This window comes from Homo sapiens, chromosome 3, assembly GCF_000001405.40.
Source record: "Homo sapiens chromosome 3, GRCh38.p14 Primary Assembly".
Classification (NCBI taxonomy): Eukaryota; Metazoa; Chordata; class Mammalia; order Primates; family Hominidae; genus Homo; species Homo sapiens.
The window spans coordinates 27,340,015-27,367,770 of NC_000003.12; the positions used below are offsets into that span (position 1 = coordinate 27,340,015).

Here is a 27,756-nt window from a genome sequence, read left to right on the forward strand (position 1 = left end):
CCAAAGTATTATAAATCATGCTACTATAAAGACACATGCACATATATGTTTATTGCAGCACCATTTTCAATAGCAAAGCCTTGGAACCAACCCAAATGCTTATCAATGATAGACTGTATAAAGAAGATGTGGCACATATACACCATGGAATACTATGCAGCCATAAAAAAGAATGAGTTCATGTCCTTTGCAGAGACATGGATGAAGCTGGAAGCCATCGTTCTCAGCAAACTAACACAGGAACAGAAAACCAAACACCGCATGTTCTCACTCATATGTGGAAGTTGAACAATGAGAACACATGGACACAGGGAGGGGAACATCACCCACTGGGGCCTATTGGGTGGTGGGTGGCAAAAGGAGGGAGAGCATTAGGACAAACACCTAATGCATGTGGGGCTTAAAACCTAGACAACGGGTGGATAGGTGCAGCAAACCACCATGGCACATGTATACCTATGTAACAAACCTGCACGTTCTGAACATGTATACCAGAACTTACAGTAAAATAAAATAAAATAAGTGGGCAAAGGACATGAATTGGCAACTCTCAAAAGAAGACATACAAATAGCCAACAAGTATATGAAAAAAAGTTCAACATCACTAATCATCAGAGAAATGCAAATCAAAACTACAGTGAGATATCATCTTACCCCAGTTAGAACAGCTATGATTAAAAGACAAAAAACTAACAGATGAGGATGTGGATAAGAGGGAACTCATACACTGTTTGTGGGAATGCAAATTAGTACAACTGCTGTGGAGAACCTTATGACGATTTCTCAAAAAAATAAAAATAGAACCACATGATCCAGCAATTCTGCTACTGGGTATCTATCCAAAGAAAAAGAAATCAGTATAACAAAGGGATACTTGCACTCACATGTTTATTGCAGCACTGTTCACAAAAGCAAAGATATGGAATCAACCTTAGTGTACACCAACAAACAAATGAATTTTTAAAATGTAGTATATATATAAAATGAAACATTATTTGGCCATAAAAAAGAAAAAAATCACATCATTTATAGCAACATGGATGGAACTGGAAGGCATTATGTTAAGTGAAATAACCCAGGCATAGAAAGACAAATATTATGTGGTCTCACTCATACATGGGAGCTTAAAAAAAGTCAGTCTCATAAAGATAGAGAGTAGAATAATAGATACCAGAGTCCAGGAAGGGTGGGTGAGTGCAAGGGGGGATAAACAGGTAGGTTAACGGGTACAAATGTATTGTTAGATGAAAGGTATGAGTTCCATCATTTGACAGCAGAATCGCGTGACTATAGTTAACAACAATGTATTGTCTATTTCAAAGTAGCTAGAAGAGAGTTCTCAACACATAGAACTGACAAATCCTCAAAGTGATGTGGGCACCTCAAATACCCTGACTTGATCATTACACATTCTATGTATGTAACAAAATACCACATGTACCCCATAAATATGTAAAATATTATATAGCAGTATATTATAAATAAATACTATTATAAAAGGATTTTTTTAAAGATTAGTTACCATTGTGTAACTAGCAGTAACCCCAGGCTCAGGGATGATACTTTCCCTTGTCCTTTGAGATTTACTGTGAGGTATTTGCAGTGTTACCTTATCTGACTCTGGATTAACAAGTCTTTTCCAGTTTCAGATGCCATCTGGCAATTTCATTCTGAGAATGGGGGAGTAATCACAAATCAATCTTAGGAAAACACAGAAAGGAGGTGTCCACAAATGTGATTTAGGGAAAAGCTGGAGTTGGGGTAAGTAAAATAGAAGAGGAACATTATCACCAATTGGGTAGACATTGAGAAATGAGTTGAAAGGGGTCACACTTCACAAATGAGACTAAATTCCCAATAAGTCATATTTTCAGGGCAAAATTGAGTAGCATAACACGCTGAATGTCTTATCTACAACCATAATTGGACCAAGGACCCAAATTCCCACCCACCCCTCAATCTCATGCAGCCTTTAGTTAGTTGTGTTAATACAAATTGTGTATATTTAGTACATTTTCCTTTATTGTGTAATTGTCTTGCTGATCTGAGTAGAATTTGAGTCCCCAGGGAGAAGAGGACCACATGTCCTGTTAATTTTTTTAATTTCACCCTCCTGTCCTTCTTCACCACTTACTTCCTCCCTTCCTTGCACACAGTACATGCTTACCATTTTGTTTATCAAATTGAATCTAAGCCTTCAACCCAACACTAAATCTCATGTTTGCAAAGAAAGGGCATAACAAGCCATATCAGAAAAGGTCCTGAGGTGTAATTCTTCTATAAGTCTAAAGTTAGAAGGGAAGAAAAAAAAGGAGGGATGATCCTGGCTATTTTAGCAAGGTTACATGGGGTGAGGCACAATGGAAAACCTTTATATTTAAGCCATCTTTTACCCAATGCCTTTAGAATAGAACTGAACATAACAAGCTGTCAGCAGCCACAGGATGACATAAAAGGATGCCCTTGATGTTCAACATTCCTGAATTCCATCTCATACTATGAAAGCAAAGAGATCTACAATTATCTCTTCCTAGTTTGAAGACTTCCAGGTACTGCTCATGTTACAAGCCAGTAACTTCATCCAGCCTAAGATGCTCCTTTAATCACTAAGAATTTTTAAACACCCTGAAAAGAGATCTCTCGACTTTAGAATTGTTGAGATCTTTTTCAACTAGTTGATGCCAACCAGTGCCCGGTTATTTTCCCTAACAATTTCTGCATCTAGTGCCTTCCCCCAAAGTATTGACCCAATAAATAGTCTACTGGGCATCTCTTGAAGAGTCCATGTGAGCTGGCTTTAAAAAAAAAAAGAACTTTATTTCCTAATACCACCTTATGCATAATGATTCTGTTATTACCATTGTTTCACTCCATTCAATCTAAGCAGAAAACAGTTGAAATATATATGTAACTTCAGGTTCTTTGCAGTGTTCATTAATCTTTGAACAATCTTTGAATGTGTAATCGAGAACTGAACAGTGACCCAATTACATAACCTTGGTAAAGATTTTAGGCTTCTTGTATAACTGAACAGTGACCCAATTACATAACCTTGGTAAAGATTTTAGGCTTCTTGTATCATCTGAGCCAGTCTAATAATCCTCTGCTTAAATTAAGTACAAAGGGATGACAGATGCAGTCTCAATTCTGTATTGTTTTAAACAAAAGTAATGTATTGGACAGTCATTTAAGTCCAATACTTAAATACATAATACTAAATGACCCCATCTAAAAGATGGAGATATGAAGTCATCACTTAAGCACGTATTGAGTAGCTGACTCGTCATGGAGGACCTGTCAGAATGCTGTTCTACTTAAAATCAGCTATTGCACTGGGCCAAGTCAGAGTTTTATTTTGATCAAGGTATTAAATTATTAATACTCCTATTTTTATTTTTCACCATAGAAATAATGTTTTTCCATTTTCACTGGGATGGAATTCACATATCTCAATCAAATCACAACAAAGTGACAAGGAAGATTTAAGGTTCTTTATAGGCATTTTTCAGCTGATGCATCTGTGAAGAGTATGCGCCTCCTGAAAAGAGCAAAAGACAAGACCCTATAATGACACACTGTTAGGAGCCTCCTTTGCATCTGGCAGCAGCATACCCAGCTCTTCTATGAAGCAGCTCAGAACGGACAGAAAATTCGGACCTGACTGCAATCCAGCAACAATCAATGGCTCCCTGAAAACCCCTGATATTTGTGAGAGAGAATCCAGAGGACTTGTTAACTAATCCTTCCTCTACAGTCCCAACACTGCACCTGTGTTAAGAAGGCAAAGAAAGGAATGTTCGATTTGGTCCTGAAAAGAAACATCTTTATGAGGCTGTGGCTGGATGTTACACACTCATCCTTTCTTTCCTCAAGATCAAGGCTTGCGCAGTCCATTTAATCAGTCATTAAATCACTGCAAAAGTGCAGCATAAGAATGTTGTCCGTGGTGTTGTCCAATGTCTCTTTCATAAGGTCCCACACAATAAATTCCTCCTTGAGTATCCAAACTCAAAGAAAATAAAGAAAACATGATAACGAGTGTTTTCCCATTTTTCCTTATCTGTCATAAAATTCAGCTAAATTCAGTACCTAATCAGTGATTTTAATGAGATCATCTGTAATGCCTACTCATTTGCCTCCTTCTTTCCTTTAATGACATGTTCAATCCTGTAAGATGTTTCAAATCATGTTCTAGAGACAAGATAGATGACATATGCCACTCTTCAGTAAAAGCCTGTTTTCCAGGAACAATCTTACCTGCTTATGAGTCTATTTTTCACCAAGGCGGTAAAGATCTCCTGAAATAGTTTACGCTGAGGATGTTTGCTGAAATTTCTCTCATTCTTGTAGTTTATACTGAGACAAAACAAACAGAAAAGGATTTTGTAATAGAGATCAGGCTGTCTCAAAGTTGCCAGTGCAGACAAAGATCATCTATATTCAGGTAACATTTTTATTATTACTAACCACTATACTAATGAGGATTCAGGCAAATATTGAAGGAGCCTTGCGTTTAACATGTTGCTAAAAGCAACTATCAGCTGTTAAAATAAGAAGTAGAAATTCAATTATAAGGTTAAAAATAAAATATAGTCAAGCATATGTATTTCCTTTTATCATATTCATTAAATTATTCCCTATAAACACTAATGGCTAAAATTGGTTGGAGGGAAGAAAAGGGTAAATGGAGAGAAAGAATGATTGGGGCACATTATTTAGACAGCTGTGTAACAGGAAGAGAAGAATTCCCTCTCCACTTTTCCACATACCCTCGACCCCACTGGCTGATCTTGCTATCAACACCAGTGGTTATCATTTATAATACCTTCTAGATAAGAAGAGTTTATTAACACAGTTTATGCACCTTCAGCCATGTTGACTGTCACTGTTGATTGTTTATATGGTTTTGTGTGTGTGTTTAAAAAATTCTGAGATATTCCAGCTTCAGCTTCTTTTTGCTGATCTTACAGCCCACCAAAGAGGTTAAAAATACCTCTAAAACATTCTATTTTAAAACTAGAAAAGGATAAGAAAAAATGAAAGGGTCACATTGCTACCAAATACATGATACAATATTTTTGTGCATAATTAAATAAAACTAATTTTCAGATCTAGAACAAATAAGCTGGAATTCCATGAACATACAACCTCAAAGGAAAGGTGTGTAACCTTATGTTGCCATGCGTAATGTTCTGCCTTCTCAGTCTTTCAGATGCCATTGGACAGCATGTCCCCATCCTAGTCACCTGAGGGCTGTAATGGTTTCTTAGTACACGGGCACTGGTACTCACTATATGACAATTTTTTAAGTATTTAAGTGTTCCTCACTAAAAATATATTTTTAAAATATGAACACATGAAATGTCATGTAACTTTCCCATACTATTAAATTTGTTGTCATAAGATGACAGGGAAACAAAAACAAAATCTAGGCCAAATAAACAAATGATCCTTCTAGAATATTCATATTGATATTTCATGCCACTCACTATTTACATGGTACTTAGTGCCAAATGACCCAAGCACACTGTAAAACTGAGAGAACCAGCTCCCGAGAGGGGAGTGGCCCACAAGAATGTGTAGCTTTGCAGAGGTCTGCTTGGCAACAGAGATGAACATTACCTGACACTTTCAATGTTAGAGGTGTGCCGCAAGCCCTTCAACTGAAAACCTCAGTTGTTTTGACAACGATATACTTTAACCACCACATCTGTTCACAGCAACGGCTCCTTTTATGCCATCTCATTACTGGCAAGATCTAGACAGACAAAGATTGGGACAAGCCTAACCAGGTCAATAATCTGGAACCACTTCCTCATTGAGCAATGCCAAACGCATGTCAGCATAGGGTCCTAAATCTCCCAGGTCAGTTCCACCTGTACCCATTAAACCTGTTATTTACATATTATTTCTGGGAATGGTTTAAGCACTAACTGAAAATATTAAATTAAGAATCGCTATGGTAAATTTTGAAGCGGGTTTTAAATTTTAGCTCCTGGGATAAACTTAAATAAAACTGTGAGCTAAGCAGAATAAGTTGCTGAAGACGAAGGAGATGCTGGATTTCTTACCTAAAATTTTCAAGTTCAACAGCTTCTGTGGATTCATGCCACTGACCCCGAGCTCTGTGTCCACCCGCCCTGATGGCGGGCTCAGACTTCGTCATGCTATTTTGGGCACTATCGAAGTTAATGGCTGGAAGCTACAGAAATAGAAGCATAGAGTACATGAGGATCACAATTCAGCACGGGATAAAGAAAGTAACAAAATATGGGGAGGATGAAGAGACTGAGATTTTTTCCAGGCCAATAATTAAGATAACAACCCTTTCAAATGTAAGGGTTTTCCAAGATTCAAATCAAGTGTCTTTGACTTAAACATCTACCTTACACTGTTTTATTTTTCTTCATAGCTTGTAACACCACTTGTCATATCTGACAGTTATTTATGTACTTTTAGTCTCCCTTGATTACAATGTCACGTCAACACAAGCAGGAACTTGCCTGTTTTTGTTCAATGCTATTACCCCAGCACCTAAAACAGATATAGGTTTGGGGTGACACCTGGGCATCAGGAGGTTTTGAAGTTTCTCATGTGATTCAAACGTGCAAGCTGACTAGAGAGCTCCTGGATCCAGGTAGAACACTCTGATATAGAGCAGAGTGCCCAAATTGAGAATGAGTCATCATACATTCATTCATTCTTCAATATTTACCAGGTGTACACACTATTTTCCTGGTGTTAGGGATATAACAATAAAGAAGATTCTACCACTTTTAATCAGTCTGAACATCCTGATTACTCAATCATATTTATAAAAGACATTAAAATATATTATCAAATTTACCATAAGTAAAAATTTAACTACAACAACTTCACTATGCTTCACTTGCAATAATAAATTGTCAGGTTATCAGTATTCAAATAGTTTCACTTACCAGTATTTGTCTATAATTGGGGTAACCCTAAGGTTTCTGATAACACAATAAAGTTGGGCATGGTATAGACAAATATCCTGTTTTTTCCAAAGTACAAATGAAGGACGTTCTATAATTAGCTAAATTATTACAGATGAGGTAAGCAGAGTATAACATAACAAAAAAATCATTTTTCAGTAAATTTTTCCATTTTATATATTACCAAAGTTATAATATGTTGCACTTGTTGTCTTATTTCACTGAAGTATTTAATGTAAATCAGTATGAAGACATCATTTTCAGCCAGGCGTAGTGGCTCATGCCTGTAATCCCAGCACTTTGGGAGGCCCAGGTGGGTGGATCACCTGAGTTCGGGAGCCTGACCAACATGGAGAAACCCGTCTCTATTAAAAATACAAAATTAGCCAGGTGTGGTGGCACATGCCTGTAATCCCAGCTACTTGGGAGGCTGAGGCAGGAGAATCACTTGAACTCAGGAGGCAGAGGTTGCGATAAGCCAAGATCGTGCCATTGCACTCCAGTCTGGGCAACAAGAGTGAAACTCCGTCTCAAAAAAAAAAAAAAAAAAAAAAAAAAAGACATCATTTTTTTATTCAAAGAGAATATGCCTGACTTTTTATAATGTCAGCTTACAGAAAAATGGATTATAATAAAGACATTGTTTAATAGTTAACAAAAAAACTAAAATCCTTTTTTATCATATGCCAGCCACAGTCAGATTTTCAAAATGTTAATAATAAATCTTCCATCCTATAAAACTACTTTTCTATCTCAATTCGGTCAGCCAATCTACAACCACCAAAAGACAATAGGCTGAGCCAGCAATGCTTAGTGGTTAAGAGAACAAATTCCCTGGCCAGATTCTATGAATTTAAATCTACCATTAACTAGCTGCATAATCTTAGAAAATTTACTCAATCTCTCTGTGCATCAGTTTCTGTATCATTAAAATGGAAATAATAATAGTATATAACTCTAGGGTTATGAAAATTGCATGAGTTACTATTTATAAAACACTTGTTATGTGTCAAGCATAGTTCTAATTGCTTTGTACATACTCTTTTAATCCTCATAATTATTCCTATTATACAGATGAATTTTGCTAAACGAATAAAATTTGTCATTACAAATTAGGTGATTTCTGAATATGAACTATTAATCCAAATGATATCTAACATGAAGTAGCAGCACAAGCAAATTTTCCCATATTATACTCAAAATATCATGATATACCGCATAAAAGAAGTAGGTTTTCCAGGCCCAAGAGATTCTAAACCCCCTTACCATTAGTACAACTCCTAGAAAAGTTTGCAAGAGAGAAATTAGCCAGCACAGAGAAAGCAAGCCCAGGTGATTCCAAGAGAGGAGTGGAAAGCTGCCGCAGCTTGCAGCCATTCCCTTTGCAGGCAGAGCAGGTGGCCTGTATCGGAAATCAACTCATGGAAAACGGGTGGATAAGATGGATTTGGCATCGATAGTTGCAAAGACCAGGAACCTAATAGTAGGCACCTTGAAGCAAGTAGCACTTCATATGAAAGAAATGTACATTCAGAATCCGGTTCAAAACCTAGAGTCTTTTCTCTTGGGTCCCCAGTTTGTCTATCTTCTGTGTGTCTGATCTCTCCACACCTGGGCATCTGCAGCCTGTTACTCCTGATCTTGGGTCAGGGTGTGACTTAACCTCCTGACAAGCACTTGCCCAGGCCTTCCTGGATAGAGTTGTTCATTCCTTTCCTGGTGGCAATACCATGCTTACCTCTCTTTCAAAACTTATCTCAGGCTAGTATAATGTATAGCTTACGCAACATCCTTTCCCCTTGAATTTGGCCACCCTGAGGGCAGCATCACATCTATTAATCTTTGTGTTCTTAGCACCTCTCACAGAGCTGGGCATATTGTAGGTATTCAAATGTGAAGCTGTGGAACAAATGCTCACTTTGTTCCCAGTCTCTTTGCCAAACTAATTCATCTGCTAAACCACCTTCAGAAAAGTTCATCCATTAATTCAGTGTATTTGTTGCAGACACATCATATACCAGACATTGCTTGAGACACTGTATATATACAGTAAGCAGAACAGTCATGGTCTCTTGTCTTCAAGGAGCTTACAGTCCCATGGGTCACGGAAGGGGGTTGCAGTCCATGGACCAGAATGTCAAGAAAGTCGTGTCACTTCTGCTTGCAAACTTCAACGTTCTCTGTTGCTGATGGAATCAAGTCCAAAATTCACAGATAGGCTTTCAGACATTACATAGTGTCTTCCAGCTTTATTTATCGAATAGAAATGTCTAGTCACCCTTTTACTTAAATGCTTGTCATTTTCCTTCCTTCAGATATTTGATTATTTTACTCACTTCACCTAGAATGCCCTTTCTATCAATTCCACTGACGGAAAAGCAGCCTATTTTTTAAGAACCACCTCCTTCCCTGTCATTCAAGCTAAAATTGGCTTCCTATTCCTCAAAAGCTATATGCTCACTGCATGCATCATTCAACCAGGATGGTGTCTTGCCTTATACCATAATTATCTGTGCCTACTCCCGCTCTCTCAAAACATAAGAACCACCACCATGCCTTATACGTGTTCTTTCTACAGCATCTATCAAAACCTTTATTTCAAGACAATTAATAAGCCCATAACAAATTAATTTTCTTCTTTCTTCCATCTTTTTTTAAAATTCCAAATAAATTCCTTAGCTTCCTATGGCTCTAAATGTGGAGGAAGAAAATAATCTGAATTCCAGGTCTCATCAGGTTGCTTCAAGATTTGTGAAAAGCTCTGGTGACATCTCCAATCAGCTTTGTAGTTTCACTTTGCCTCAGTAATCCTGGGGCAGTTCTTTCTCTTGAGTTATTGGGTTTTCCTGGATTATGATTATTCTAAGCCTGCTCATCCTGAAGGAGGCCTTTCTGCCTCTGTGTGTCTCTGTCTCCAGTTCTGTCACATTATGAGACTGTCCTAGAGATATGCAGAGATACACAGAGTGTAGGTCAGGACAAAGAACAAAAGTAGAACACTGGAACACAATGGAACAACAGGGGAAGTAGCCTCGCTCCTTAGAGATCCAGAGGAAGGGCATTCAGTTCTCTGCACTCTCTACCTACAAGGTAGATTTCCTCTGTAACCTGAATTTGGCCAGCCTGGTTCATTTGCAAAAAACAGGCCACAACTTGTTAGCGCAGAAATGCAGCTGAGTGGGCCTTAATCACAGGTTTCACTTTTCAAATTGAGTACTGAAAATCTCCGAACCAAATATGTTGCCCATGTGTATATTTTGTTGAGCATTTCTGCTTGACCCCAACTCTACTTTGCTCCCAACCCTTGTTTTTCTCTTATTTTGGGCCCTGGTTTTAATGTATGACAACCTATCACACTTTCTGTCTCTTTATAAGCTCTTAATGACTCTTTCTGGAACAAGCAAAGTATAAATAAGTGTAACTTGAGTTATTTTCTCCAATATCTTCCCTCCCTATAAATGTCTCCACATTATTTTACCAAAAGGAGAACAGGGTAACATTTCTTATTTCAAAATTACAAATGAATGAAACTTTTATAAACACAATTAGGCATTAATTTTGTAAACCTAAGGATCTTCATTAAATTGACAGTATTTTTATTTTTTTAGCACCATCTATTTTCTGAATAACTCAAGCATTACAAATATACATTTTTGTACATGTGAAAGATTTTACAAAAATATATGCCATGTAAAGTTGTCCCACAACAGATTGCAAATTTGAAAATTGGTTAAAGGGGGAAAAAAATCACTAAATTAACTTTAATTAAGCCTGCCAGGTGTTATCAAGCAAGCGGTGTTGAAAGGGCACACGAGAGATCCAGTCAGCATAAACTTCAAAGTTGGAAAATTAGAGCCAGAAAAACTATATTGGTTTTTGGTTTTGGTTTTTTTTGTTTTTTGCCCTGGCTAGGAGGTTATACATCCTCATGTGGTGACCCATTTCTCAAGTCACAATTCAATTTAGCAAAATCTGGCCAAGAACTCATCAAATATAGTGAACCAGAGGCAAAAGTCAAAGTTGCTGGCATTAGGAAATACAAGATCTTGTCAGGAAATAAGACACGTAAACAAGAGTTTCCAAAGCGCAGGAGAAAATAATGCCACAGCAGTAAAAGAAGGAGCCTTGGGAAGACAGAGATCACCTCTAGAATGGAAACTATATGGAGGTAATATCATTAGAGTTGGGTCTTGGAAATGGGTGAGATTTTATAAGAAAGAAATTTAGGAGAAGGAAATAGTAAAAGCAAAAAGTAGAAGTCTTTGATATTATGGTTACATCACAGGATGTACAGTGGGAAAGAATGGGCACTACACTCCAAACTGTATGCCTAGCCATCTTGTTTGCCTCTTTAAGAAAGAACGGACTTAATTTTGCAAGTCATTTAACAGGTATCTCAGTATTTAGAAGCACACACTGCAAAGATAGGGTGTCTGGGTTCAGAACTAGACTTCACCAATTAGGAGGCTGTATGATCTTGGGAAAGTCACTTGATTTCTTTGTGGCTGTTTCCTCATCTGTAAAAATGGGAGTTGTAATTATTAAGCAGGGTAATGCAGGTAAAGCAGCGGGCACATAGAAAGTGTTCCCTAAATACGAACTATCATTATTTGGCTTTTACATGCCATCAAATCATTTTCCAGTATAAGCAGATAAAAATGCTATAGTTCTCTGGTAAATGTGATTGATATAACAAAAACTGTCAGGGCTGGATTACCAAACACCAGAGCTCTTAAACAGATTTACTTAAGCAAGAACAATGTAGACTTTAGAGCCAGACTACCAGGGTTCAAGTCCCATCCCTTCCATTTATGAGTTAAGGTGCTAAATAAGTGTCTGCTATTTTCATTATTATTAGCATTGCTATGCTGTTCCCCAAGCCTCCCTGGATGGCCTCTAATGTCATCACTTTCCAAAGTCTCACAGGTGCAAAACCAAAATGAAAAGTTTGGAGATAAATTCAAGCAGAAGTACCATTTTTTCTCTAATAAGAACATGAAAATGCTACTATAAAAATAGCCAAAAATCACTCCTTGCCCCTCTGTTTGGTGAGGTACATTGTGCAGCAGCCTCAAGAGTGGCACTGTAGCAAGGGGGCAGGATTGGGAAGAGTAAGGGGGAAGGAGGAGAAAAATGTGGTAGAAAGTGCTTTGAAAATAACAATTTCCCTAAAGCTCAGAAAACCAAAGGTTGGCCGTTCAGTAAAAGAGTATGCAGTTTGTTTACAGACCGAAGAGGAAAGGGTTTGCTAAGTAGGACACAGGGTGAGAAGCATAGGCTAAAGCAGGGCCTGGCCTGAGAGACGAATGTGGATGCCAAATCTTGGCAAAGCCTGAACCAGGTGTCAGAGAAACAGCCAGATGAAGAAAGAGCAAAGATGTGAATAATGAGCAAAGAAAAGCAGACATATCATTCATAGATATGTTAAATGGAGCCCTTTGGAAACATATGATTTTTCTTTTATTACCAAGTGAACATTCTTTGAAAACGCTACCTGTTGTTTGCTTGATTGGACGTTCAAAAGGCACCGAAGTCTTTTAAGATCTGAATAGTCCCTAGGAGAGAGAATAACACAATGTGAACCCACAGAAGGCTCCAGGTGAACAAGATCGTGTTACCCACTGATGGCATTGCCACTTGGAGGCCTGCTTTTATCAACTGGAATGAATACACACACTAAACATTTTCTTTAGAACACTAGAAATGACCAGATGTTTCAGTAAGCACTGTAACTCTGAATAGTAGTTGTCAAGAGTCTTCTCTATTTCTCAAAAAGCCATTAAATCTGTTCAATGGCCACTGCCTGAGTTAACAATTAGCAAACACTCAGTAGGGAGTTACCTGATGGTGATTTCTTGCTGTTTATCAGTTGATTTTTCTGTGGTCTTCACCTTTTTATCTTGATCAGGCATTGTAAAACATCAATGCCCCAGAATTAACATCGCATTCCTTTAAAATTAAACCAGAGGGAAAATTTTAGTTGGGTTGCGTGTGCCAAAATATTCTCAGTTAATACAGACAAAACCCACTTATAACATCTATTTAAACATGGAAAACCTAGATTTAGTTCTAATACAATAATAAAAGTGTTAATATGAATACCACTTACTATTTATCATTCAAAGGACATTGGGAACATTTAGGGCATGCTTTACCCTCACTCAAAAGATAAGTATGGGTTTGCCAGTAGACAAAGAACAATTGGTTTGCTTTTATTTTTCTTAATCAATTTCTAATGCAATTATTTTAATTTTCAGAATAGAAATAGAAAGTTGAAGATGCCCATATTTTCAATTACATAACAAATACAAAATTAAGTGTGTTCTATGGGTTTAATTTGACTGGATGTAAAATTTTCCAACTGTGCTTCAATGCCACGGTTTGACTTCAATGTGTTGTTCAGGCATGAAAAAGTATGCATTATTGTCTTATAATAGCATGCTTCAATGTATTGTGAAATCTATGGTCAAAATCCAAGTGTTTCAGAAGTATTTAGAGGCAAAAGGAATGTACCAATGGGCATTTCACTTCCACTGAATCTAGTGAAATTTAATTTTGTGAAATGCTCAAAGACAGTTTAAGGATTTAAAAATGATTTTCCCAATATATTTGTCATATTTTTGACAAATAGTTGGGCTACAATTAAGAGCCAGGGACCAAGTCTCTCAGCACAGGAGCACAACAATAACAGGTACAATATTAACACTTTAGGATTGTACCAAGGATATAACACCACCTCTTTCATTCAACAAATATTTATTGACCCTTTACTGTGCCCACTCTCAGACTGAAAACTGCTAAAAGGTTAAAGAAGCTATTACAGGTATGCGTTTCTACCACAAGCAAAAAAACAAACAAAAACCCACTCGTGAACTTTAAAACATGTTTGTGAGGTGTTCAGGTAGAGATTTAGCATCTATTTTTACTCTAAAAGAAAGAAAGAGAAGGGAGAAGGGAGAGAAGGGGAGGTAAAAAGAATGGAGGATCTGCAAGGTAGTGTTTAAAAGCCAAAGACCCAAGTGCTTTTAATATGCAAATACAAAAATGCCCCGTAAGTTCTAAAATAAATGGAAATCCATTCAAAATAAATAGAATCTAACTTTACTCTTCCCTCAAATACAGAAGAAATACTCTACATAGCCACACTGTCCTGCTGTTGGCTTCGAATTCCTGCTCAAACTATAGCTACAGACTATAGTTTAGAAGCAGAAAATAGAAGCCGCAATGACAAGCACAGGAGAGCCTATGGAGAAGCTCACAGGCTTCTTCTGCTAGAAGGGGATCGCGTTTACCACTATCAAACTCGCTAAACACCCTGTCTTATTCTCTTGCTTAATTTCCATAATTGTATTGAACAAGTATGTGAACAGGAAATAATGATCTAATCGTTATATCTGTTTGAGATCAGCATGTACTCTGTGAGCTGGAAGGCTGAATATAAATGACTCTTTGGAAATGTTGCACTTAACTAAACAGTAAACAAATTCACCAGTATCAGCAGAAACAGATAATTGTCTTTAGGATAAAAAACAAAATCCTTTCCATTTAATGGCTGCTTAAATGGAGATATTCTGAAAAAAAGCTTTGAGAAGTTGGGAATGCTTTAAAATAGTTAACCTAATCCCATTTTAAATTAACAAAAATGATTACATTATACTAATGTCTACACTATAATACAAAATGGGAGATGGGGGAAGGAAGGGCAGTTCATATGTTAAGTTGCCCAAAGGCAGACAATGTATTAAGAAAGCATTCCCAACAGAGGTCAGGCAAGGGTGCTAACACAAAAGCTCTCTAGAGGGTAGCTTTGGTCTAAGCCCATGGAGGAATGCTGCAGTGTAGATTAGTCCTCAGAGTTGTCTAAACTGAGAGAAGTGAGAGCCTGGCTCTCATATTCCTGTAGCCTTCAGTCATAACTCCCCAGGCACTCCTCTCTTGTGGTAGTGACTCCAAGTCACTTAGAGGCAGTCCTCTCAAAAAGACATACAGAATCTAGCTGTTAAAGCAGAACATTGAAGCCAATACGAGGACACACAGTCCCAAGGAATGGGAGAGGCTCTGGGCAGAGTGCCCACATATATCCACTAAAATCAACGACTCCATGTGGAAGAGCTGTGGGTAATGAAGGTAAAGGATCTTTGCTATGGATACAAACTAAGCAGCGCCTGCTGCATTAGCTTCCAACTACTGAGTTGAATTTCCCTCTTTCTTTGCTTGACCTCGCCAGATGTTGTTATGATCTCATGTCCTAGCAGCTCAGTCCTTGGTCCTCCTCCCTTCTCTATCTGCCCCCTCTCCCAAGGATCTCTTGCAGTCCCATGGTTTTACATACCATCAGCAATTATAAATTTATATGTTCAGCCCTAACCCCATTCTGACCTCCTAAATTCACAAAGTCACTATATGGATGCCTAATGAGCATCCCAAATTTAACATACCCTAAACAGAACTCTTGACCCCCACCCCCTAGTAACAAATGCCCCTAGTGCTCCTCATCTTGGTAACTGGTACCACAATGGCTCTCTAGACAAAAGTTCAGGGGACATTCTTGGCTCCTCTCTTTCCTCTACCTCCCATATTCAAGCCACCAGCAAAACTAGTTAGCTTTCCCTTCTTTCCACTCCTACTATCACCCTACTCCAAGCCACCATCTTCTCTGCCTGGATGACTGCCACAACCCCCTCAAGAGTCTCTCTGCTTCCACTCTTGCTCCTCTACATCCTCAGGAACCCCAGGGAATGCTTTAAAATGTAAATCAGATCATACCACTCTGTGGCTTACAACCTTCCTGTGGCCTTCTATTGGACTTGGCTTCCAACCATGACTTTCACTGCTCTGAGCTTGCCTCCTCCCCTCTCCCTCTTGCTTCCTCCACTTCAGCCATGTTGGCTTTCTAGAGAGAAACATGAACCCACGAACATGCCAAATGCTATGGTTTGAATGTCTATCCTCTCCAAAATTCATGTTGAAATTTAATTGCCACTAAAACAGTATTAAAAGGTAGGACCTTTGAGAGATAATTGAGCCAAGAGTCTGTCCTCATGAGTGGGTTTAGTGCATTTTACAAAGGGCTTTCAGGAATGAGTTCTCTCTCTTTGCTCTTCTGCCATGTAAGAAAAAGTGTGACTCCCAGAGAAAACAGCATTCAAGCCTCCATCTTGGAAGCAGGGACTGGGCACTTACCAGACACCAAGCCTACTAGCACCTTGATCTTGGACTTCCCAGCCTCCAGAACTGTTCTTTATAAATTACCTAGTCTGCCAGGCATGAAGGCTCATACCTGTATTCCTAACACCTTCAGAGGCTGAAGTGGGAGGATCACTTGAAGGTCAAGAGTTTGAAACCACCCTGGGCAACATACCAAGACTCCATCTCTACAAAAAATTTAAAAATAAGCCAAGTGTGGTGGTGTGTACCTGTAGTGCAAGCTTCAAGAAGCTGAGGCAAGAGGATTGCTTGAGCCCAGGAGGTTGAGGCTGCAGTGAGCCCTCATGGTGTTACTGCGTTCCAGCCTGAGCAACGGCACAAGATCCTGTCTCTTAAAAATAAACTAATAAATAAATACCCCAGTCTGTAGTATTCTATCATAGCAGCACAAAACAGACTAAGACCATTTGTGCCCATGAACATGCCAACTATATTCTTGCCTTAAGCACTTTCTGCCTGCTTGCTGTTCTTTTCCCATAATCTCACACTGGCTTCTCCATATCCTTTGGGTTTCAGGTCAGATGTGCTCTCCTAAGTGGGGTCTCCTCTGATGAGTATCTGTGACATATTCACCCCCACACACTCATACTTACCACAGCACTCTGTTTTCTTTCCTTCTGGAGTTCATCAACATCGGAAATCCTCTTGTCCATTTATTGACTTCTTTGAACTAGCTTATAAGCCTCCTATGGCAGGGACTGTGTCTGTTTCATCCACAAATATGTCCCTGACACATAGAACAGCACATAGTGCATGACACAGTGTAAGCATGGCATAAGCCCTCAAAAAATATGTATCACAATCTGTAAGGAGTGACTTATTTTGTCAGTTATTTGCTTTTAACAGTTATTTTAAGGCTTAGAACCTCCTCTGACATCCCAAGTCTGGTGCTCCTTCTCGATGCCCACAGAGCAGCCTATACTCCCCACATATTGTTATTATGTGGTAATCAGGAAAATCCAATATCAAATGTATGGGTTTGCTCTGGGAGGTTTTGATGTTGCAATTGCCTTATTACCACAGAAGGCCAGGAACTGGGCTTCCACTATTCACCAGAGAATGGTGAGTTGTAGGCAAATAATAAATATTTATTGAATGCAATGCCTAATAAATGGATGAACGGATAAAAGGATTATTTTAAAAAAAACCTGTGTTATTACTTTTTTAGGTCAACAAATCGCTCATAAAACTCTTTTATAAATAAAATCAGTTGATGAGCATTTGTGATGTTGTAATAATCCTGAGCACATTCAGGAATTATTCAGTCATTGGGGGAAACTTAGAGTTCTATATAAGAAAATACTCATCGCTGTGCTTCTGAAACTATCTGTAATAAAGAACTCTTTAATTTCCAATCTTTTATGGACTGATACTTTTGGTTCAAATCCTGTTCAGTGAGACAATGCCACTGGTGATGTGCCTAAGATGTCATGGCAATGCTGAAGTGCTGTAAATATTTCTAAACTCTTATTCTCAATTTCTGTCTTTATCTGCTCATGGACCAGTGACACACCAGTCTGAATATCACCTGAATACCACTGGTCTGGATTATTAAAGTCTATCTTTTTAAGTAACAAAACTGTTTTCACAGCAACCCTAGATGAATCTCTAATTGAGAACCACAGCCCTAAGTACAGAGTCTGAGGGGACTAACCCAGAAATTGACAACTCCATGACAACCAGGAGAGGGCGAGAGTGAGGCTGGGAAAGGAGAACTGTGGCCAAGCAGTTAAAGCTCAAGGTGGACTCTCCATTTAAACCAAAGCAATCTTACTTCTCTGGGGTTCTGCATACAGTTTCATTAGAGAAAAGGATTCTATTGCTAAAATAAAAATAGAAAACCACTGATTCTCTAACACTTATTCTACCAATGAGATTAGGCCAAAAACTTTGGCTTTTTACAAAAACTTTTGGCCTTATCTGTAAAATAAGTGTTAAGAGAATTTGCTACACAAACACTTGTACCTATATGGGTTTTTCTTCCATTCTAATGAGAAGGTGGAAATTAAGTTTGTTATTTTGTTATATAGGGAGTAGTCACAGTAGTGAAAGATTATATATAAAAACCAAAGGCATGCTACTTTAAAAACAGAAACTTTTGGTGTCTTTGCTTTTTTTGTACACCTCAGTCATGGGACCTGAATACCATCTCAGATGGGAGAGAAGAGACTTTTCCAAACCTCAGGGTTTGGTGCGTACAGCCCTAGACAAGTACAGCTATAATCACAGTTATGATTCATTGTTGAATTTTTAAATCCATTTTTTAAAAGAAACTCTCAGAAGTAATTTCTATCCTCTATTGTTTGAAATTTGGGTTAATGCTAAAGAAGTCCCTAGAGAGGCCCCTCATTTGCTCGTGATGTCTTGGTAATTGCTGAGTAAACACATGTGACAGAGAAAGAAACACATGCCATGGCAAAATTACCTGAGTGTAATTAATCTAAATTGTGCAATATTAACCTACTAACTAAATAACATAGGGAGTATTTGTGATATGGTTTTCAGATCTCTACCCAGAAACCCGTTTTTATTCCATGGTTGCCTTAGCTACTCAAAAGATCCTCAGGTGGCCTCATATTTACTAAATATAAAACAGAGTCATTTGAATCATTATGGTAAATCGCCCACAAATCCACAAATATCTTTTTTTTCCTACTAATCACTCAGGTTGCATCTTTGTAAATACTCCATTTTATTTACTACATTTACTAATGGTTAAAAACGGTACTTATAAAGTAATAACAGGCCAGGGAGTGGTGGCTTATGCCTGTAATCCCAACACTTTGGGAGGCCAAGGCAGGCAGATCACCCGAGGTCAGTTCAAGACCAGCCTGACCAACATGGTGAAACACCGTCTCTACTAAAAACACAAAAATTAGCCAGGTGTGGTGGTGCATGCCTGTAGTCCCAGTTACTCAGGAGGCTGAGGCAGGAGAATCACTTGAACCCAGGAGGCAGAGGTTGCAGTGAGCCGAGACCGTGCCACTGCACTCCAGCCTGGACAACAGAATGAAACTCCATTTCAAAAAAAAAAAAAAAATCAATCAATCAATCAAAAATAAAGTAATAACAGTGAAAATACATCAGATTAAAGTTAATTACCATTTTGGCTATGTCAGGTTTATTATTTTGAAAAAAGCACTAAAATAAACTGCAATGAACCCTACCACAAAAGGAAGTTAGAACTTCCTGTACTGACAAGAAGTCTCTGTTTCTTCTGATGAATAATGATTAACCTTTCATTTTAGATGACAAGTTACAGTTCTGTCTGTTTTCAAAGGGACATATTAAAAGAATTTAGAGAACTTTCAGCCCCATAACTAACTAGAAGTACAAAATGGAAAATCATTTCTCTAATTCCTTTACTGTAGATATTTTTCTAAAAATTCCTCTAATAGTGATTCTTTGAGAAAAGTAGTTAAAATAAGATAAAAAGTCACATAGAGCAGCCAGAGATAAGACAAACATGTTAAAATGCACTGGTTAAATGTTTAGTTCTCAGTTTTGATGACTGTAACATGGTGATGACAAATGTCAACATTAAGGGAAGCTGAGTGAAGGGTATATGGGAATTCTGTGCTGTTTTTGCAGTTTCTATGTTACGTCTAAAATTATTTCAAAATACACACTTAAAATGTATTCACCACTTCAGCAGTTTATGTAGTTAAAGTGCTTTGAGAATAAAGAAACAATTTTCTTTTTGCAAAGAATATTTGCACTAAATCTCACAAATATACAGTGCTTGGACTTTTCAAATTATGTATGCTTTAGAAAACTATAAATCCTCCACAGAAAATGTCAAGTTAAATTGGTCAAATTGCTGGAAAATAAACACACACACATTTTCAAAATAAGGTGAGCAAAAAGTTGAGGAAATCCTGTAAGAAACATAACTTGCTAATACCCATTACAGTTTAAAAAGGACATCTGGTTCTCTAGTCTAAACTGTTGTCTTGATTTTATCCCTTATATTACATTGTTATTGTTCTTCAATGGGAACTATATGTGGAGTTAGCAGAAAAGAGACAGCTATGACAAGAATAAACCTCAGAGAACATGCAGTATCAGGACGTCTAACACCCTCCAGGCCCAAGAACAGAATGTAAATGAATGAAGAGAGGTGTAGAGAGTGGTAGAGCTTCGGTCACACATGAGAAGGCACATTCTCCCAAGAGGGATTCAAAAGCACATAAAAAATGAAGCAAAACAAGAAAAGACACTTGCACAAAATAACAAAACAAATGTATAGGTCACCAGTTGCAGACCATGATTCAGCTCCCTTCTACTAGAGGAGGAAATTAAGACCCAGAGAGGAAAAATGTGTCAAAGGCCACACTGCATCTTTAGGAGTGAAGGAGAACAAAGCGCACTTCACCTTCAGGATCTAAATCTTCATGGAAAACTCTAAGGCAGATGGGAAAAAGAGAACTTGTTGATATTGGCCCTTAGCCAAGGGCAGAGGGTGATATAACAACAACTGATGTTTGCATAACTTCACCTCCTGGACCCTGGGGTGCTTGCAAACATCCATTCATTCATCCTGGTTCACTCATGTGAAATATGTAGGTGGTGTGTTTTAATCATCATAGAGTGGTAAACAAAGACACGGTTGGTACAGAATCTCCAAGGGCAGGAGTGTGTCGTCAGCTAAGGACAAGCATTATTATCATGGCCTTGCTCCTGAGTCAGTACATTTGCCACCTTCCTTGCGCAAATAGTCAATACTTTAAGCAATTTTCTATTTTATATGTAAACAAGCACTTGGGGATAAAAAGAACCAAGAATTCTAATAGTATTCTAACCCTCTCCCACTTAATCCTCGAAATAGTTACTGACCACCTGCTATGATGATGGACACTCCTTTAAGTGCTGATTTTCATTTTCCTCTGGCTAATACTGGCCCATGTTGGTCTGAGGGCTGCTCCAAAATTAACTAGAATATGTGACAACAGATACCACTATAACCTCCCTATTTTCTGATTTATTCTCATTCCAACTTATATCTTTTATTGTAAAGGGAAATCTGCAGATATAAATGTAGGTTCTGTGGATCCCCTCCATTGTCATTGCATAATGATATTTGTGGTATGCTATGTCTGTGCCTTGCGTAGCTGCTACAGCATCCAATTCTACTCATCATATGGTTTACAATGTGCCTGTGTTAGAGCAAATGAACCTGAGACTTACATATTAAGCAGCAATATTGAAAAGAGGAAAAAAGGTCCAGATGATGTGAAGGAAGAATTTATATTAACCCGTCAACAAAAATAACTAAAGTAGCACACTAAATTTCTCTTTTCTCATTGACCCCAAATAGAATATGAGTATATTCTATTTCCTGATTTTGTGAGAAACAGAAAGGTGAGAATTATATTTATTCATTACTCCAAGAAATATTTATTGAGTCCCTAGTATATGCCAGGCACTGAGGATACAACACTGAATAAGACATGGTTCATAATGTCTTCCAATAAAATAGTTAACCATCATTGTAATAAGTAATAAAGTAAGTACAGATTCAACCCAAACCCCTAGAACTTTCACAAGTGAAGAGAAGACTGAATCAACAAATTGATGTTCATATGTTTGGTGGCGCTGCAAAAACTAGAAGTACTTTCTGAGCTATAAAATAAAATTGAATTTCATCTAATAACATTTTATTTCAAGTGCATTTTATTATTTACTGTGCTCTGACTGTGCACAAGACCACTGGGCACTACAAAAAAAAAAAATCTCTTTACAATCCAATGTGTGTGGGAAATCATAAATATGTAGGGTAAAGCATATGAAATTGCTGATAATGTCTCTTTGTAAAAGAAGACATTTTTTAATGGTTTAGGCAAATACAATGGATTAAATAAGAACACTAGAAGTGTCAAAAAGCAGAAAAAAATGTCCAAATGAGATTATAAACTGAATGAAATCAGAGGAAAGATTATAGAAAGATTTTGTGAACTGTGAACTTGAAGAAGGTCCAGAAGGATGGGCAGGGGGGTGAACAACGGGCCTGGCCAGTGAACACAGGGATGCAGGCAAGATGCTGAAAGTGGCTTGAGGACACAGTGAGTAGATGAGTTGAGCTGGAGCTAAAGGATCTGGAAGAAGGCAAGTGTTGGGAAAAGGAGTAAGTGGCAGCCTTCAGTCTGCAAGCCAGCTTACGGAACTGCTAATGGCTAAGAAGTTTGGAAGCAATGCTATTCTTGGAAATGTAAAACATCTATATGCAGATCATTCAGCTTATTATCACATTCCATTAATCTTTGGCCAACTCTTTTGGATAAAGAGGAATTGACCTGAGATAATGTTAGAGTGTCCATGGAATTCAAAGAACTGCATTAAGTAGCAGGAACACCAGAGGTAATTATATGAGGCAAGGAGAATGCAAACATATTAGGTGGGCGCAAAAGTAATTGTGGTTTTTGCCATTACTTTCAATGGCAAAAACTGCAATTACTTTTGCGCCAACCTAACACATTCATTCATCCTGTCTCAAATAGTCCCAAATAAGACAGAGTCCTTTGGCATGGACGTCAGAAAAATGACACCTTCCTCTTCCTCACCCCCGTATCTGATATTTGGCTACTAAGTCCTATTTTTCTATTAAATATGACACTTATCTGTCCACCGTCACTGCCAACGCCCTAGTCCAAACTTACATCAGTGCTCACCTGAACTACCATTATCACTTCCTAAATGATCTCCCAACTTCCAATTTCTCCCTCTCCCCAACTACAACAAAAAAATCTATCTCCACACATCAATAAAAGCACTCTTTTTATGGTACATATTTGACCAATTATGCCCTTATATGCTTCCCATTTCTCCTGGGATAAAAAGAAAATTTACCAAGGTCTGAGAGGTGCTGCGTGCAATTGGCGCTCCTGGCCACCCAGCCAGCTGTTACTCACACTTGGTCCTGAACTGCCACCACAGAGTTACTCCTCCTGAATATCCCCAGGCCTTTACTCCTGGACTCAAGGGCCACAGTGGTATGGAAAGGCTGGATGTCGCATCCTTCATGTCTCAACTGAAGTATCCATTCTTTGAGCTGACCTCCTAGACAGGGTCACAACCCTGCCAAGCATTGCCTTGCAGCTTTTGACAAACAGGCTGATTCAGGTCATAATTCAATAAGTACATATTTCCATCTCCATTAGTTTACTGTAAACTAGTCAAGCATATGGAGGACAGCTTTTTGGCTCATTCCCAGTATCTAGCACATACTTTGTAGTTTACAACAAAAGAGGGATTTAATAAATAATTGCTGAATGAATCAATCAATGAACAAATCCCAAGTTAAATGTGATTGGGAAGCTCCAAATATAACTGGAATATCATGATGTAGATATGGAGAGTAGAGACAACGAAAAAGAACAGCAAATAAGTTTGCCCCAGCTGACCAGTATCCAGTGATTGCAGCATGTTGATTTGACAAAATCTCTCCATAAATACAAGGAAGCCACAAAGAAAAGAATATAAAGTATTACATTGATGTTAAAGATGGACTACCTCAAGTATACATGAACAGGACAATAAGGTTTCCTAAAGGAAAGATGAGTATTCACATTGTGTCAAGTGTAGCATACACATGTGTATTATATGAATGCCACTGTCTCCACTGATGCAAGTTGACAAGTCTGGGAATGTGAATTCTTCTGGTTATACCACTGGAATATAGTCAAAAAGAATAACAGGGTTAGAGGAGACTTGGTTTCCACTTGCCCACTGAGTGACCTCAGAAATGTCACTGGAGTTCTCTGATTATTTTCTCATTGACCAAAAATTAGAAATAACAACATGCCTATGACAAGGTGGCAGTCGGGACTAAATAAAATAGTGACACCTCTTTAGAACCGTCAACAACTAGATAAATATGTTACTGTTATGATAGCTGTTGTAAGTATTAACTTTTTTGTGTGTGTGTGGAGAGTGCGGTCTCACTATGTCGCCCAGGCTGGTAATAATATTACTTCATTTGAAGAGTTTGTGTATTTACTTTATTTATTTATTTTTTGAGATGGAGTTTTGCTCTTGTCACCCAGGCTGGAGTGCAGTGGCACAATCTTGGCTCACTGCAACCTCTGCCTCCCAGGTTCAAGCGATAGCGATTCTCCTGCCTCAGCCTCCCAAGTGGCTGGAATTGCAGGCGCCCACCACCATGCCTGGCTAATTGTGTGTGTGTGTGTGTGTGTGTGTGTGTGTGTGTGTGTGTGTGTGTGTGTGTGTGTATAGTAGAGACGGGGTTTCACCATGTTGGCCAGGCTGGTCTCAAAGTCCTGACCTCAGCTGATCCACCCGCCTTGGCCTCCCGAAGTGCTGGGATTACAGGCGTGAGCCACAGCACCCGGCCATGTATTTATTTTAAATCATTTGTCTATATTCATTGACTTTGACTCATTAATGAAAAATACTAGAGATAAAATTAAAAATAGAGTTTAAATTCAATGTCACAAATGGTTTTCATTTTAATTTTTAAAAACCTATTAAGGGTTATTCTTACAAGCACATTAGTATATTCATTTAATCCTCAAAACAACCCTCTGAGGTGATTAGTATTATATCTCCAACTTACAGATGAAGAAACTGAGGCACTAAAATGTCAAGGAACTTGGCCAAGATCTCATACCTAGTAATAACAACAGTCATAATAAGAGCAAACATTTACATGGTAGTGCCAGCACTGTTCTAAGTGCTTTCTATACATTACCTAATGTAACACTCCTAATGAATCTGTAAGGTAGCTACCCTTACTGTCCCTAATTTACACATGAAGGAAATGAGGCCCAGTGAGGTTCATTCATTTGCCAAGGTCCCACAGCTGGTAAGTGGCAGAGCAGAGATTTGAAGCCAGGCAGAACCCTTCCTGTTAATCTAATGCAGTACTAACTCTCATTTATTGGTGGCATTTATCCAGCTCTCTATTCACCTAAGTGAATTTTCTAGATAAATATTTACTTCTTTAATAAAGAAATATTATTTTATTCATACTTTTCATATTAACTGTCTTTTGCAAAATATACTAACTACTGTGGAACATTTTCCTCATGGCCCAAGGTCAGTGTTATGGCTGCTGTGCTTTATCTGTCCTGCTTGTAGTTTTTACTTTAATTTTTACAGGAGGGCTTAGGTATCTTTTGTAGACATGAGCCAGTCAATTGTCATTTTGTCACTTTGATTCTGCTGACTGCTTTGAAGCTAGAATCTGTGTCTATCATAACTATTTCTAATATAAGATTTAATAAGCTTTGAATTGATGCCAACTGTATGGACTTAAGTCCATGACTTTCATTATGACCATGGCAGATTTTAGCTGAGATGAGGGGAGTTTGACCTATAGATAAGTAATTATTTTACCAAATAAAAAAACTATGTATTTTATCCAGTGCTCATATTCCTGTTTTTTTGTTTTGGTTTTTTGTGTTTTTTTTTTGTGTTTTTTTTTTTTTTTTTTTTGAGATGGAGTCTTGCTCTATTGCCCACGGTGGAGTGCAGTAGCACGATCTCAGCTCACTGCAACCTCCTCCTCCCAGCTTCAAGTGATTCTCCTGTCTCAGCCTCCAGAGTAGCTGGGATTACCAGCACGCGTCACCACACCCAGCTAATTTTTGTGTTTTTAATAGAGACGGGGTTTCACCATGTTGGCCAGGCCGGTCTCAAACTCCTGACCTCAAGTGATCCTCCCGCCTCGGCCTCCCAAAGTGAGCCATCATGCCTGGCCATTCCTGTTTTTTAAATCATGATACATATCAGGCATATACATGAGTTTGTTTAAAGTTCACTTTCATCTAGAAGATGAAATCTTTCAAAATGTAAGACTTATTCCCAAATCCAAGCCATACACCCTGTCCACAAGCTGATGATTACTATTCCCTCATCCTGCTTTACTTATTTCTCTCCTTGTATTGTGTTCCAAATAGAACACAATACAAATAAATAACATTTACATGCTCCTGAGGCATACTGACCACTGTTCTAAGAAATTTTTCCATATTAATTCATGTAATGTTCACAACCACCCCATTTTACAGATGAGGAAACTGAGGTGCAGAAAGATTAAGTTAACTTGCCAATCCCATATCTAGGATTTGGGGAGCTAGGATTACAACCCAAGCAGTCTGGCTCCAGAATCTGTGTTCTATGAACTCTGCTCTACTGCGCCCTGAGAACTGTCCTAAGAGAATAGTGCCTTTGTTTTGTTCACTGCTGAAGGCCCAGGTGTTCAATAAATATTTGTTGACTGTCTGGATGAACTTCCAGCTCCTCTCTGCCTATCCAAGTGCTCAACCCAGTTCACTTTGACTTCAGCCTCAAAGCTTGACTGGCTGTGACAGGCAGAGTAACATTCCAGGCCCTTCTTCCACCTCCTGAAGACTTTATTTGTTGCACTGTCTTTTGGCTCACCCTCACTGGGCATGGAGCCCCAAACCCATTAGATGGTCAATAAATACTCACTGAATGATTGAGACTCAGAGCTGTATCAGAGCTGTCGCCAAACACAAAAGTTTGTGATCAAGTACTATAACAACAGGATGGTGTCCTAGAAATTGCACTTGACTGAATCAAAAGATTGATTTTTACCTTTTGTAAACTCACCATGACAATTTCACAGCTCTAGACTTCAGTGTGTTCATTTTTTTTTTTTTTTTTTTTTGAGACGGAGTTTCACTCTTGTTGCCCAGGCTGTAGAGCAGTGGCGTGATCTTGGCTCACTGCAACCTCCGCCTCCCGGTTCAAGGGATTCTCCTGCTTCAGCCTCCCAAGTAGCGGGGATTACAGGTGTGCGCCACCATGCCCAGCTAATTTTGTATTTTTTGTAGAGATGGGGTTTCACCATGTGGGCCAGGCTGATCTTGAACTCCTGACCTCAGGTGATCCACCCACCTCATCGTCCCAAAGTGCTGGGATTCACGGCATGAGCCACCATGCCCAGCCCAGTGTGTTCATTTTTAAACGTGAAAGCTTACTATATATAAAGCACTATACCTTTGGTATGAATTATGTACATATAATCTTTAAAAGAATCCTATGAGCTAGGTGCTATTATACCCCCATTGTGCAGATAAAGAATCTGACTAGAGGCTAAGTAATTTGTTATGTGTTACACAATTAAAATGCTAGAGCTAGGATTCAAACCCATGTATGTATGACTCCAAAGCTTAGCTCTTGCACACCATGCTGTACTGTCTCTCTCTTTACCATTTTAAGCTTATGTCATATAATAACAGCTACCGTGATAATGATTATGGCTTGAACTATAAACTGTGAATTGAAGTAGTTTCCAATTACTAAGGGTCTTGAAATTAAAGTAAAACCTGTACCTTTTATAACATTTTTTCAATATTTACCTTTTATAAGCAAAAGCTTCATTGGCCATTTCTGACTTTTCTGGAAGAAATAAAGATACCATGGCAAACAGTAACTTCTCATTTTAGAGATTCAGTCAGTTAACAAGTATTTGTTGAACACCTGTTACGATGTCTTGCACTGGGCTAAATGCTGGATATATATAACAATAGTGACTGAGACAAAGATGGTCTCTGCCGTCACAGAGGCAGTCCAGAGAAAGAAACAGTAATCAAGCAACATACAGAAA

At 38.3% G+C, this 27,756-nt stretch overlaps 1 protein-coding gene across 30 annotated transcripts in view; it reads right to left on the bottom strand.

Annotated features, from left to right (window-relative positions):
- NEK10 (NIMA related kinase 10) overlaps positions 1-27,756 on the bottom strand; it is a 262,900-nt gene that overhangs the window by 233,531 nt on the left and 1,613 nt on the right. For 17 of the 30 annotated variants that reach the window (NM_001394969.1, XM_047447506.1, NM_001394967.1 and 14 more), the window contains exons 2-5: positions 12,798-12,905; positions 12,451-12,511; positions 6,072-6,202; positions 4,258-4,356 (exon numbers count right to left, since the gene is read on the bottom strand). In NM_001394969.1, coding sequence (NP_001381898.1) covers positions 4,258-4,356; positions 6,072-6,202; positions 12,451-12,511; positions 12,798-12,868 — 362 coding nt within the window. In that variant the 5' untranslated portion in view covers positions 12,869-12,905. Of the gene's footprint in view, positions 1-4,257; positions 4,357-6,071; positions 6,203-12,450; positions 12,512-12,797; positions 12,906-16,756; positions 16,891-27,508; positions 27,549-27,756 lie in introns of all 30 variants that reach the window. The other 13 variants (XR_001740034.2, XM_047447507.1, XM_017005768.2 and 10 more) reach the window with 3 other exon arrangements.